At 37.6% G+C, this 15,697-nt stretch overlaps 1 protein-coding gene across 6 annotated transcripts in view; it reads left to right on the top strand.

The window, feature by feature from the left end:
• C10orf67 (chromosome 10 open reading frame 67) overlaps positions 1-15,697 on the top strand; it is a 142,882-nt gene that overhangs the window by 94,250 nt on the left and 32,935 nt on the right. For 5 of the 6 annotated variants that reach the window (XM_017016031.2, NM_001365862.2, XM_047424968.1 and 2 more), the window contains 2 exons: positions 28-93; positions 10,732-10,819. In XM_017016031.2, coding sequence (XP_016871520.1) covers positions 28-93; positions 10,732-10,819 — 154 coding nt within the window. The remainder of the gene's footprint in view (positions 1-27; positions 94-10,731; positions 10,820-15,697) is intronic. The other variant, XM_047424970.1, reaches the window with a different exon arrangement.

Raw genomic sequence — 15,697 nt, 5'->3', positions numbered from 1 at the left:
ATTTAACCATCTGTAAATTTTTTATAGGTTTAGGAAGGAAGCTGATCGACTAAATAAAAGCTGGGAAAAGAGATTCTTTATTCTCAGGAACAGGTATGGTGTGAAATATACAAATTCTATTTCTAAAAACATGACTAATCATCCTTTAAGGAAGTTAGGAATGTTGCAATTTTTTTACATACTAATGTTAAATCACCTCATATACTTCTACAAGAAATGCAAAATAATTGGTCTAAAATAGAAGAGTAATCAAAATCACTGAGAAGTAAAATCATTCAAGATGTTTTCATTCCCTATCTGTGTTTCTGTTATAAAAGATCAGCAGGACAGACTCACTCGCTTAATACCTGGTTTAATCAGACCTATTTAGTCATCTTCTTTCATAGGGCTATTAAAACCTTTTCCTGCTCATTTGCACACAATGATATATAACTAGTTTGTATTGTCTTTATAAAGTTGCTTTATGTATCAGATCCTCTACCAGACACAACAGCTCCAGTTCCTCAACCTCTCAAATCTATTTTTCACTCACATAAGCATTTTGTTTCTCTTCCCAGTGTCCTCTTTGCCTTTTTCAAAATGGAGAAACTGTAAAATTCTGAAAAGGACAAAAACGATGCAAATTGGAAAAATGCTTATTTTTTCCCTTACCCTAACATGTTAACATTAAAAATCTGTCTTCTGTTTAGTTGTGTTCTGCCATAATTTCCCCCAGATTCCCTGGGGGAACATGTATGGGAAGTTCTTTTGCAATATTCTTTCACAGTCAAGCATCATCCAGGCACGATGGGTTTAATGTTGGTCTGATGGAGGCCATCGGAGGTCAAACTTGAAGCTTACACAAAAGATCCTGGGATGGCAATGCCCTACATTTGCACTGTATTTCTTAAACACACACTATGGATCTTGTCTGTATAAAATTCTATACCTGGCTATGTATATTCTATGGAAATAATTCATCCTAAGTGCGGTGGCACAAAGAATCCATGCCAAGACAGAAAAAACAGAGGATTCAGGGCAAAAACACCTTGTAGTAAAACATTCTGCCTTGTTCTGTTTGGTGCTGAAATGATCTCCTACCCGTGTTTCGTGTATGTGCTGATAAGCATTTTGTGCTGTGTAAAATGTGCATATTAACACCTGCCCTGTCTCACATAGTTATTTAAGAACAGAACGTAGATACATGTGAGACAAAAGAAAATTTAAATATACACTTGATTTCCTTTCCCTGCAAATAGGTTTTGGATTATCTCTAGAGCTGAATAAAATGACTTTCTCTTATTTATTTCTGTAGGGTTCACTTTCATCCTTAAGATTTACCTTGTCTCTGACCCTACGGGATTTACCCTATTCTTCAGTGATGATTTACAAGAACGTATCAGTTTTCTTTTTTTTTTTTTTTTTTTTTTTTTTTTTGAGAGGGAGTTTTTGCTCTTGTTGCCCAGGCTGGAGTGCAGTGGTGCAATCTCGGCTCACTGCAACCTCCATCTTCTGGGTTCAAGCGATTCTCCAGCCACAGCCTCCTTAGTAGCTGGGATTACAGGCGCCCACCACCACACCTACCTAATTTTTTTTTGTATTTTTAGTAGAGATGGAGTTTAAAGTTTTACTTCTAATTGATTTTCTATTAACCAAGATGTTGACAATCATATTAATCGTTTTGGTCTCTGCAGACTTTATGTTGATATCTAAATATTTAGGAAAGCAGAAGTATTTATTACTACACACTTTCTATGTTTTCTCATTTAACCAACTAATTGGGACATTGTAGATTATGTCTCTCTACTTAGGCTGAAGCTCCAGATATTAATTCAATGTGGCATATACAGCACCGTAGCGAGTGCATTTGTACAGAGTACTTCATCGTGGTGTGATATGGAGATTAATTGTGTAGTCACAGACTTACATGGGCTAACATGGTAATTTCATTTTACTGTAACTGATCCTAGATTAGATGCACTCATTTTTGTTTAGTAGATGAAAAACCTCACCTTAGCCAGTCAAGATCAGAGTCCAATCCAATGATTTCTCAGTCAATTCATGATTTATGTTGGGTCCCAGTCCAATTCAGGGCTTCATTTCCAAGCTCCTTTTCCATCTCTGCCGAGTTCTTATTTCCAGGAAGATTGAATGTGAGCAGTGCGGACAAGAGCAGGGCTAGTCCTTCCTCTTGGTGTGCCAAGCCTGATGCGACTGCCTATGTCATCATTGTCGCACAAACAGTATGCTGGTGTGGCATATCAGCTTTGGAACATATCCCTACCAGGCTGATGCCGCGGTGATGCCGCTGTTTCCACCTCCACCCCAGGCGGCAATCCACATGCATCCACCTGAGCCACCCTCTGTTCTGCCTGATGGGCTCTGGGCCAGATGGACTCACTTTTGCCCACCATGTTTATCAAGCGCATAAGAAATGTTACAGGTGGTTCCCGTGCCACTCTGGCTTGCATATATGGAAGAGGTCCATGCACACATCCCTTCTCCTGCCCTCACTCAGCACTAGATTGCCATCCCAGAGAGACTGCAAACATCAGAAATCTAGATAGGGCATGCAAGGTGAAGGCCCACTCTGCTCATATAGTCCCCTCACCTTGGAACCCTCTGTAAACAGAAACTCTACACTGCTCCTTACTTCAACAAAGTAAACACCTGTGTCCTCACCACACAGGTAAAGAAAGAAGGAATTAGAAGTGGCTTCACGGTCCCTGTTGCCCATCCAGTGCCTGTCACCTCTCTTCCCAATTGGCAAATATTCTGAATTGAATGCTTATCATTCCCTTGGGGAAAGTTTTCAATAACATTCAATTTGTCATAAAAATTGGGCTATTCCAATTTTCAATTTCTTCCAATCAGTTTGATAATTTGTGTTGTCTTTTATGTTTGGGAATTTTCTCATTTCATTGAATTGTCTAATTTATTGATATAAAGTTATTCATAATATCCTCATATTATATATATAAATGACAGTCATGTGTCACTTGATGACAGGGATAGATTCTGAGAAATGTGTCATTAGGCGATTTCATCATTGTGTGAGCATCTTAGAGTGTGCTTACAAACCTAGATGGCATAGCCTACCACACACCTAGGCTATATGGTATAGCCTATTGCTCCTAGGCTACAAACCTGCACAGCATGAGACTATAACTGAATACTGTAAGCAATTATAACACAATGGTAAGTGTTTATGCATCTAAATATACCTAAACATAGAAAAGATACAGTGAAAATGCGGTATAAAAGATAAAGAATGGTCCACCTGTATAAGGCACTTACCATGAATGGAGCATGGAGGAGTGGAAGTTGCTCTAGGTGAGCCAGTGGTGAGTGACTGTGAAGGCCTAGGACATCACCATACACTACTGTAGATTTTGTAAACACTAGACACTCAGGCTACACTAGATTTACCAAAAAAAAAATATTTTTTTCAATAACAAATTAGCCTTAGTTTACTGTGATTTTTTTACTTTATAAACTCTCTAATTTTTAAAACTTTTTGACTCTTTTGTAATAACACAGCTTTAAACACAAACATATTGTACAGCTATACAAGATTTTTTTTCACGTGGTGGTGCACACCTGTAGTCCCAGCTACATGGCAGCCTGACAGGTGGGAGGATCGCTTGAGCCCAGGAGGTTGAGGCTGCAGTAAGTTGTGATCACACCCTGCACTCCAACCTGGGTGACAGAGTGAGACCCTGTCTCAAACATACTTATATAATTTTTTCCTTTATATTCTTATTCTTTAAGCTTTTGTCTGTGTTTTTTTCTTTTTATTTTTTACGTTTTAAACTTTCTTGTTAAAAACTAAGATACAAACACACACACTAGCCTAAGCCTACACAGGGTCAGGATTGTCAAGACGTTACTAGGCAGTGAGAACTTTTCAGCTCCATTATAATCTTATGGGACCACCATTGTATATGCAGTCCATCTTTGACCAAACATCATTATGCAGTGCATGACTGTATCTGTAAGATCTGGTGATGTCCCTTTTTCATTCCTGATATTTGTGTTTCATTCCTGAGAATTTGTGTTTTTCTCCTTTTTTCTTAGTCTATTGATAGTTATCAATTTTGTGTTATTTATTTCAAAGAAATAACTGCCTTTGCTGAATTTTTCTCATATGTCTTTTCATTGACTTTTTAAAAATTTTAATTTTAATTAAAAAACATTTTTTTCCTTTCTAACTTTTATTTTAGGTCAGGGGATATGTGTGCAGGTTTGTTACATGGGTAACTTGCATGTCTTAGGGGTTTGGTGTACAGATAATTTTGTCACCCAGGTAATCAGCCTAGTACCTGATAGGTAGTTTTTCATTCCTCACTCTCCTCCAAACCTCCACCCTCAAATAGGCCCTGATGTCTGTTGTTCCCATCTTTGTGTCTATGTGTCCTCAATGTTTTGCTCCCACTTATAAATGTGAACATGTGGTATTTGGTTTTCTGTTCCTGTGTTAGTTTGTTTACGATAATGGCTTCCAGCTCCATCCATATTGCTGCAAAGGACATGATTTCATTCTTTTTATGACTGTGCAGTATTCCATCGCATATGTGTACCGTATTTTTTTATCCAGTTTACCATTGATGGGCATCTAGGTTGATTTCATGTCTTTGCTATTGTGAACAGTGCTGCAATGAACATGCATGTGCATGTGTCCTTATGGTAGAACAATTTATACTCCTTTGGGTATATACCCAGCAGTGGAGTTGCTGGATCAAAGAGTAGTTCTATTTTAAGTTCTTTGAGAAATCTCAGACGGATTTCCACAGTGGCTGAACTATTTACATTCCCATCAACAGTGTGCAAGGGTTCCCTTTTCTCCACATCCTCACCAGCACTTGTTATCTTTTGTCTTTCTGATAGTAGCCATTCTAACAAGAGTGAGGTGATATCTTATTGTGGTTTTGATTTGAATTTTCCTGATGATAAGTGATATTGAGCAATTTTTCATATACTTGGCCATTTGTGTGTCTTCTTTGGGGAAATGTCTATTCAGTTCCTTTGTTCACTTTTAAATCAGGTTGTTCTCTTGCTGTTAAGCTGAGTTTCTTACATATTTTGGATATTAACCCCTTATCAGATAAGATGTATGGTTTGCAAATGTTTTCTTCCATTCCTTAAGTTGTCTTTTCATTTTGTTGTTTTCTTTGCTGTGAGGAAGCTTTATAGTTTGAAATAATCCTACTTATTCGTTCTTGTTTTTTGTTGCTTGTGCATCTGGTATTATATTCAAAAAATCATTGCCAAAGGCCAATGTGAAAAAGCTTTCCCTCCTATGTTTTCTTCTAGGAATTTTATGGTTTCAGGACTTATGTTTATGCCTTTAATCCATTTTGAGTTAATTTTTGTGTACTGTGTAATATAGGGGTCTAATTTCATCCTTTTTCATGTAGATACCCTCTTTCTTCAACATCATTTATTGAAGAGACTATCCTTTCCCCCATTGTATATTCTTGTCACTCTTGTCAAAAATTAGTTGACCATATATGCATGAGCTTATTTCTGAGCTCTCTAATCTGTTCCATTGGTCTAAGTGTCTATTTTCATGTCAGTACAATCATACTGTTTTGATTACTATAGCTTTGTAACATAGTTTCTCAAATCAGGAAGTGAGCTGCCTCCAGCTTTGTTCCTTTTTCTCAAAAGTGCTTTGGCTAGCCATTTGGGGTCTTCTATGTTTCCATAAAATTTTAGGATTATTTTTCCTACTTCTGTGAAAAATGCCATTGCAATTTTGGTAGCAATTGCATTTAATCTGTAGATTACTTTGGGTAGTATAGACATCTTGACAATATTATTTCTTTTAATTCATGAATACAAGATATCGTTTTATTTATTTGTATCTACTTTAACTTCTTTCTTCAGTGCTTTATAGTTTTCAAGATACAGATCTTTTACCTTGTTGGTTAAATTTATACCTAAGTATTTTATTTTTTGACACTGTTATAAATGGAATTTTTTAAAAAATTTCTTTTTGGATAGCTTATTGGTATATACAAACACAATTGATTTTTGTATGTTTATTTTGTATCCTGTAACTTTACTGAATTTATTAGCTCTGCTGGTTTTTTGATAGAGTAATTGACTTTTGCTTTTATCTTGTTTCCTTCTAATTTTTAATGTTTTATTTGCTGTCTTTTTACTAGATTTCAAGAAGGAAGCCTAACTCATTGATTTTTCAGACTTCTTTTCTTTGAATATATGCATTTAACACTATATATTTTCTTCTAAGTATTGTTTGAGCTGCCTCCCACAAGTTGTGACATACAATATATTTATTATCACTCAAACAAAATATTTTCTAAATTCAATTTGATTTCTTCTTTGATCCATGGGTTATTTAGAAGTAATATGGGCTGGGCACAGTGGCTCATGCCTGTAATCCCAGCACTTTGAGAGACCAAGGCAGAAGGATTGCTTGAGCTCAGGAGTTTGAGACCAGCCTGGGCAACAAAGTGAAACCCATCTATACAAAAAATAAAAAAATTAGCTGGGTGTCGTGGCATGCACCTGTGGTCCCAGTTACATGGGAGGCTGAGGCAGGAAGATTGCCTGGACCCACGAGGTCAAGGCTGCCGTAAGCCCTGTTCATGCCACTGCACTCTAGCCTGGGTGACAGAGTGGGACCTTTTCTCAAGATAAAAAAGAGTAAGTAATATGTTTTATTTCCAGTAAGTTGAAGATTAGCTAGTTATAGTTCTAGTTTAATTCTCTTGTGCTCAGAGTACTTACTCTGAATAATTTTAATCTGTTAAAATGTCTTCATGGTCTTCATGTTTGTTTTATGGTTCAAGCTATGGCCAGTTTTTAAAAATGTTTTTATTCTTGAAAAGAATGAATTTTTTTTTTTTTTTTTGAGCCAGAGATTTTGCTCTTGTTGCCCAGGCTGGAGTGCAATGGCGTGATCTCAGCTCACCGCAACCTCCGCCTCCCAGGTTCAAGCAATTCTCCTGCCTCAGCCTCCCGAGTAGCTGGGATTACAGGCATGCGCCACCATGCCTGGCTAATTTTTTTTCTATTTTTAGTAGAGACGGGATTTCTCCATGTTGGTCAGGCTGGTCTCAAACTCCTGACCTCAGATGATCCGCCCACCTCAGCCTCCCAACGTGCTGGGATTACAGGCATAAGCCACCATGCCTGGCCAGGAATGAAAAATTTTATCACTGATGGGTGAAGAGTTCTAAATATTTCAATGAGGTCAACCCATTAATTTTGTTGTTTCCATCTTTTACATACTTATTAATTTTTTGGCATCATATCCAACTATCAAAATAGAAGTATTAAATTTTCTACCATGATTATAGATGTATCTATTTCTTATTTTAATCTGTCCATTTTTACTTTACATAGTTTACATCTTAGTTGTTGGGTACTCACAATTTAGATACTGATCTCATCTTGTGAAGTTATCAGTAATATCTATCATTATGAAATGCTTTTATCTTTAGTAATGCTCTTTAGCTTAATGTCTGCTTAACTATTTGGTTAAGAGTGCATGGTGTATTTTTTTCTAACTTTTTTCTTTCAGCCTATCTTATTTCTATATTTGAATGTGTTTCTTGTAATCAGCATATAATTGGGTTTCTAACCTAATCTGTCAGTTTTATTTTATTTAATTGTCATACTTTATTTATTTACTTTAAGTGAAAATACGATAGTTGGGTTTGTGTTTACTACTTAACAAGTTGTTTTCTATTTGACCTGTTTTATATTTCTTCTTCTCTCCTTTTTGCCTTGTTTTGAACCAATGAACCTTTTTTATTCCATATTTTCTTTTATTAATTTGTTATTCATTTTCTTTTTTTGAAATTTCTCCTTTGTAAAATTTTATTCTTAGCTTATTGCAGTGTTTTAGAAATTACTGTTGATACCAATTTCCCAAGTATTCTAGAACCTTAGACTATTTTCACTCCATTTAATTCTCTCCTACATTTTAATTTTAATTCTCTCTGTTTTTTTAACTCCATGAAAGGTTGCTATTGTTGTTTGGCATACTCAGTATTCATTTATATTTACTCACACATTTACTGTTTGTTGGGCTTCTCATTTTTTTCTGCTTATTGTGTTTTCATCTGAAATCATTTTCTTGCTGCCTGAATAGCTCTCTTTCATTTTTTGTTTCTTCATTTTTAATACAGGTTTGCTGGCAAATAATTCTCTCAGCTTTTCTTTGGAGGAAAATGTCATTATTTTATCTTCATTATTGAAGAAAGTTTTTGCCAAGTATAGGGTTCTATCTTGGCAGTTATTTTTTCAGCCAATTAATAATGTCAGTAGGCCGGGCATGGTGGCTCACGCTTGTAATCCGAGCACTTTGGGAGGCCGAGGTGGGTGGATCATGAGGTCAGGAGTTCAAGACCAGCCTCACAACACAGTGAAACCCCATCTCTACTAAAAATACAAAAATAAGCTGGGCGTGGTGGCAGGCACCTGTAATCCCAGCTACTTAGGAGGCTGAGGCAGGAGAATTGCTTGAACCCAGGAGGTGGAAGTTGCAGTGAGCCAAGATTGTGCCACTGCACTCCAGCCTGGGCAACAGAGCTAGACTCCATCTCAAAATGAGTAAATTAAAAAAAAAAAATGTCAGTTCTTTGGCCTTCATTGTTGCTGTTGACAAGTCAGCTGTCAGTCTTACTGTTGCTTTTTTTTCATGTCTAGGTACTTTAAATTTTTTCCCTTGATCTTTTGTTATCATTAGTTTTATTATGATGTCCCTAGGTATAGTTACTTTTATTTATCTGGTCTAGCTCTTGAATCTATGGGTCAATGTCATTTCTGAATTTTGGAACATTCTTAGCTATTATCTTTCCATGTATTATTTCTGCTTCATTCTTATCTACTCTGATCCTCCTGCTTCCTTCTTTAAAAAAAACCCTTGTGATTACATTGGGCCCACTAAATAATCTAGAATAATTACTCTATCTCAAGATATGTAACTTACCACATCTGCAAAGTTCTTTTTACTTTGTTAGGTAGCATACTCAAAATTTCCAGAAATTAGAAAGTAGATATCTTCATGGGGGGCAATGTTCACTCTACTACAGTCAACCTTCTGGCCCCCAAATAATCATGCCTATCCTGCATGCAAAATGCATTTACCACATCCCAATATCCCCCAAAGTCTCAACCCATTACAGCACCAACTCAAGTCCAAACTTTCATCTAAGTGTTATCAGCTTCAGAAGTCCTAGTTTGCATCATCTAAATTAGGTATGGTGAGACTCTGGTTATAATTCATCCTGGGACAAAATTTCTCTCCATATGTAGACTTGTGAAATTATAGATTACTTGCTCCCAAATACAATAGTGCGAAAGGCATTGTATTGACATAAATGTCAATAATAGCTATAGACATTCTTGTTTGAAAGGGGAGAAAGTAGAAGGGGAAAATTGAGTCACTAGTCCAAACAATTTTGAAATTGTTTCAGCATAACGCCATTAGGTTTCAAGGCCTGGGCTAATTCTCTGTGACTCAAGGTTCCACCTTCTGGGCCCAAAGCACTACTACTGAGTCAAATATCTTCTTTCATGAAAGGTAGCACGTTTGACCCTGAGTAGTTTTATCAATCTGTTTCCTGCCCATAGAATTTTGGGAATCCAATAACCTTATTTCATTTATTTCCTTTCTCTGTCCTTTTCAGTGCAATCTGGCAGTGTTGTTGCTGATATAACATTCTCAAAATCTTGTACGTCTCCCATGTTTGTCATGGGAAGTCACTTCATTAGATGGGAGGCTCCTTCTCAGGTCTTTCCTAGATAATCTCATCTCTATTTTGGACTCTGCTGAGATGGCTGAAGGGATGTCACACATTTAATCTCTTCAAAGAGTCTTTTGTGTGAGTAAATGCTGTCATTTTTGTTTCTTCCTACACTCTGAAGGCTGTCCAGCCATTCTCTTGCCTTCTCTACAGAGTACGTCTTCCTGACAGCAAATCTCCTAATTTTCGCATCGCTTGCAATCAAGATAGGCTGAGAATTTCCCAAATAGCTAATATATGTGTGATGTTTCAACACACTGTAGTTCTTATTATCTTTGGTGTGTGATTTCTCCAATCTTAAGTCAACAGGAACTCTTTCAAGTTGATTACTGTGTTCTTTTGACATAACCTTTGATGACTTTGTTGAATTCTGGTAGAATAAGATGTCCCAGGTTCATTCTGTGCATTTATTGCCTTAGATCTAGAAACAGTCATTTCTGAAAAATGCCCTGAATTATTTTGGTGAGAAATGCTTTTTAAAATCAGAGTCTGGGCAGTAGGGGTGATCATTGCCATTACTTCTATGCCTTTTCTGAGCTGAAAAACATGTAAGTTTGTGTGGTTTGTGTGTGTGTGTGTGGTTTTTGGTTTTTTGTCAGACAGGGTCTCACTCTGTCGTCCAGGCTGGAGTGCAGTGGTGCAATCACGGCTCACTGCAGCCTTGACCTCCCAGACTCAGGTGAACCTCCCACCTCAGCCTTCTGAATTGCTGGGACTACAGGCATGTACCACCACGCATGCCTGGTTATTTTTTTTTTATTGTTTGTAAAGATGGGGTTTCACCATTTTGCCCAGGCAACATGTAGTTTTAAAAATGAAAGAGGTAGTATGTTCATGCTAATATTTTTATATTTTTATTTGGTAATATTTTAAAATTTTAATGTAGTTTCCTACCTCATTAACATAATGCTTATTTGCTTTATGCTATGATTTACATACATTTTAAGTTTCATCATTTTTAAAATTTCAGCTTTCATGTCCTTAAGAATGAGATGTTTACAAGGCACACACTGTTTCGTCAGTTTGCAGTGCTTGCTGACACATCCTTCAATTATATTGTAAGTGCATGTAATGTTTAGATGCTGTTTGTCTCTTTGAATATACCTGTCTGTTTCTTTCTGTTCTCGTTTAAGGTTTATCAAGCCCCTGTCATTACAGGCTCTAGAGATAGTACAAGGCAGTCACTGCTAGATGCTGAGGGTGTTAAGACAAAGTGCCTGAACCCAAAGAGCTCAGTCCAGTGTGAGAGGTAGATGTGTAAACAAATTGCTACAGCGCAATATGGTTGAGCTACAATGGGGCAAGTATAAATTTCAGAGGAGCGGGCACTCATTCTGCCTGGAGCATATCTGTCAGTCTGCCCATTTGTGGCCACGGATGTAATATTGGGAAATATCAAAGCTTGGAGTCTAAGCTTCCAGTCACATCCAAAGGAAAAAAAGAAGATAGGAGAATCTGTTCCTAGTGCCAAGCCATTCAATTTCACATTAGAATTCGTGTAATAGATAAAGCCCAATTCTAAATTATGCTATTATTTAGCCTATTTGACTTACTGTTTTCATCTGGGGGTTCTAAATGTTAAGGTAATTGATACCTGGTATAGAAATATATCCAGTAAATTTCAATTAATAAGTAAACCAAAATGAGACAAACTTTGTTGAGAACCTGCTGTGATGCTAAGTGCTCTGAGGACAAGTCGGGTTTGTGGGGAAGGGCCTAAGAAACATATAAATATATGCTCTTTTTTTTTGCTTCGAGAGGCATACAATCTAAAATCATCTTCTTTCTGAAATTTTTTTTCAACATTTGTCACTTTAAGACCATTTTCTAAATTTAAGTTGCTGCAGGAGATCAAAGAACTTAAGTACACTTGCAGGATAATATTAAATTAATTCCTGTTTATAACTAAGTTTATATAGTAACCTTGCTGAGGATTTTAATACTTGATTTCTCTGAAATGTTCCCAAACTGATCTACATAGATAGGAATATATATAGTGTCTTTTTTCCCCTCTTGGTTTTTCCTCATCTCACCCTGCAGGTTATAATTTTAGTTGGAGTAATTCTCATTTTAGAAATTTAATCAGTTCGGCAAATAAAACGTTGGAGGATCCAGGAGAATATGGTGTCACTCAAAATCAGGCTTTTTTATGATTATTAGCTGGTAACCTTTTCTAGTCCAAATTTGAATTATCCAGGCTTTGTGAAACAGGCTTCTAAATCTCAAAATTATACCAATTCAAGCACAGGAGTAGATCCAGTATTTTTCCTGAGTACAGTCTTGGCCCTGCCCTCAAGTGGCCATGCAATTCACCTTCCCATGGAGGCTAATGGAGCTCCATCTGGTCTAGAATCCATCCATATGCCACTGTTTCCTGGATTCAAAGTTTATGAATCTTCATCTATACGTCCACACAGTATGTTGACACATGAGATACTCATCAGAGTGTATACAGATTTTCAAATACTGAAGAAAAACTGATGGGGAAGGGGAGAGAAAGAGTAAGCAAGTGAATGTGTGAGTTTAGATCCACTAACACTGTCCCTTGGTTCCCTCTCTCTAGTCATTCATCCACCGTACAAATATTTGTTGAGTACACATACGTACCAAGCACCAAGCTACATGCTGAGTGTAACATAGTGAACAAGACAAAAATGGCTCTTTGCTTCACAGACTGTAAATTCCATGAGGTGACAGACTGGTCCATCTTATAAACTATTTTACTTGCAGAGCTTAGAATAGTGCCTGATCTACAGTGTGAAAAAGATAGGCATTAATAGGGAAACACCAGAATTTAAATTATAAATTTGGATAAATGCTATGAAAGAAAAAGTTTGCTATGATAATACTATTGGGGTATATTTTACATATGGTTAAATGCACAAGTAGTAAGTGTGCCATTTGAAGAGTTTTGCTTTGTAACCATCATCTAAGTCAAGGCATTGAGCATTTCCATCATCCCTGCAAGCTCCCTCATGTCCCTTTGCAGACAATACATTGCCCCCATCACCACACCAAATAAGCGTTGTTTTGATTTCTATCACTACAGATTAGTTTTGCCTGTTCTTAAATTTATGCAGATGGACTCACACAGTTTATACTTTGCTATGTCTGGCCCATTTTACACAGCACAATACTTTTAAGATCCACCCATGTTATTGCATGTATCCATGGCAGTTGTTCCTTCTTAAGTTCCTTTGTAATGCTGAGTAGTATTCTACTGAATGAATAAACCATAATTTGTTTATCCATCTGGCCTCATTGGACAAATGAGCTCTTTCCAGTTAGGGCTATTATGAAAAAAAAAGCTGCTATAAACATTCTCTTACAAATCACTTGTGAAAGTTTGTTTTAATATCTCTCAGGTAGGAGTGGAATGGCGAGGACACAGGAAGTGTGTGTGTTTAACTGCATAAGAAACCACAAGACACATGCATGCACATGTTCGTTGCTGCACCATTCACAATAGCAAAGACATGGAATCAACCTAAATGCCCATCAATGGTAGACTGGACAAAGAAAATGTGGTACATATACACCATGGAATATGACGCAGCCATAAAAAAAGAACGAGATCATGTCCTTTGCAGCAACATGAATGGAGCTGGAGGCCATTATCCTAAGTGACCTAACACAGAAGCAGAAAACCAAATACCACATGTTCTCACTTATAAGTGAGAGCTAAACATTGAGTACACATGGACACAAAGGAACAGACATGGGGGCCTACTTGAGGGTGGAGGTGGGAGGAGAGTGAGGATTAAAAAACTACCTGTCGGATACTATGCTTACTACCTGGGTGATGAAGTAATCTGAACAGCAAACCCCCATGATACACAATTTACCTGTGTAACAAACCTGCCATGTACCCCCTAAACCTAAAATAAAAGTTGTTTTTCTGTTTTGTTTTGAGACGGAGTCTTGCACTGTCACCCAAGCTGGAGTACAATGGCACGATCTTGGCTCACTGCAACCTCCACCTCCCAGGTTTAAGCGATTCTCCTGCCTCAGCCTCCTGAGTAGCTGGAATTACAGGCATGCACCACCAAGCCTGGCTAATTTTTGTATTTTTAGTAGAGATGGGTTTCACCATGTTGACCAGGCTGATCTCAAACTCCTGACCTCAGGTGATCCACCCACCTTGGGCTCCCAAAAGGCTGGGATTACAGGTGTGAGCCACCACGCCCGGCCAAAGTTTTTTACAAAAAATAACAAAATTGCCAGTACTCCAAAGTGACTGCATCGTTTTACCCTCACACCAGCAATCTTTGAGAGTTCCATTTGCTCCACATCCCTAAAAACTTGATATTGTTGTTTTTTTGTTTGTTTTTTGTTTGTTTTGTTTTGTTTTGTTTTGAGACAGAGTCTCACTCTGTTGCCAGGCTGGAGTGCAGTGGCACGATCTCGTCTCACTGCAACTTCCGCCTCCCAGGTTCAAGCAATTCTCTGCCTCAGCCTCCTGAGTAGCTGGGATTACAGGCACCCGCCACCACACCTGGCTAATTTTTTTTTTTTTTTTTTTTTTTTTTTTTTCCCCCGAGAGGGAGTCTCGCTCTGTCGCCCAGGTTGGAGTGCAGTGGCGCAATCTCAGCTCACTGCAAGCTCCGCCTCCCGGGTTCACACCATTCTCCTGCCTCAGCCTCCCGAGTAGCTGGGATTACAGGTGCCTGCCACCAAGCCCGGCTAATTTTTTTGTATTTTTAGTAGAGACGGGGTTTCACTGTGTTAGCCAGGATGGTCTCGATCTCCTGACCTTGTGATCCGCCCGCCTCGGCCTCCCAAAGTGCTGGGATTACAGGCTTGAGCCACCATGCCCAGCCAATTTTTGTATTTTTGGTGGAGACAGATTTCACCATGTTGGCCAGGCTGGTCTCGAACTCCTGACCTCGTGATCCACCCACCTTGGCCTCCCTAAGTGCTGGGATTACATGTGTGAGCCACAGTGCCCACCCAATATTGTTAGTTTTTAAATTTTAACTATTTTAAAATGTTATCTCACTGTAATTTTAATTTGCATTTCCCTAATTAATGACGTTGAGCATCTTTTCATGTGCTGATTGGTCATTCTTAGGTCTTCTTTTTTGAAGGATCTACTTAAGACTTTTTAAAACTTGTGGCTAAATGCACATAACAGAAAATTTGTCATTTTAGCCATTTTTAAATGTACAGTTCAGTAGTGTCGTAAACATCCAAATTGTTCAACCAAATTCCACAACTCTTTTCCATCTTGCAAACCTGAGGCTCCACACTCATTTAAAAAACAACTGCCCATTCCTCTATTCCTGTATTTTTGTCAATTTTTAACTGTTATTGAATTGTAGCATTTTGTTATATATTCTGAATACAAGTCCTTTGTCAGATATATGTATTACAAACATTTTTTTCCTCAGTCTATAATTTTTCCTTCTATTTTCTGAATGGTGTCCCTTGAAGGTCAGATATTTTTATTTTAATGAAGACAACTTAGTTATTTTTTCTGTGGCAGATTGTATTCTCTGTGTCTGTGACAATATCTCACATTCTGTATATATTTCTTATAATATTGATCTTGTCTTTTTTCATTGAATTTCACCAGTTCCGTTTTTCTAGATCAATTGACTATGTATGAGTCTATTTCCAACTACGCTATTCTTTTCCATTGGTTTATTTGTCAGTCCTTTTGCCAATATCGCACTGTCTAAATTAACATAGCTTTCCTAGTAAATCTTGAAATCAGGTAATGTAAATCCTTTTATTTATTTATTTTTATTTAGCTTTTTTTTTTTTTTTTTTTTGAGATGGAATTTCGCTCTTGTTCCTCAGGCTGGAGTGCAATGGTGCGATCTCGGCTCACCGCAACCTCCGCCTCCCGGGTTCAAGCAATTCTCCTGCCTCAGCCTCCCGAGTAGCTGGGATTATGGGCATGTACCACCACACCAGGCTAATTTTGTATTTTT

The sequence above is a fragment of the Homo sapiens genome, chromosome 10 (genome assembly GCF_000001405.40).
Source record: "Homo sapiens chromosome 10, GRCh38.p14 Primary Assembly".
NCBI classification, from domain to species: domain Eukaryota; kingdom Metazoa; phylum Chordata; class Mammalia; order Primates; family Hominidae; genus Homo; species Homo sapiens.
The sequence above is the reverse complement of the archived record's forward strand: the minus strand, read 5'-3'. Positions and strand labels throughout refer to the sequence as shown.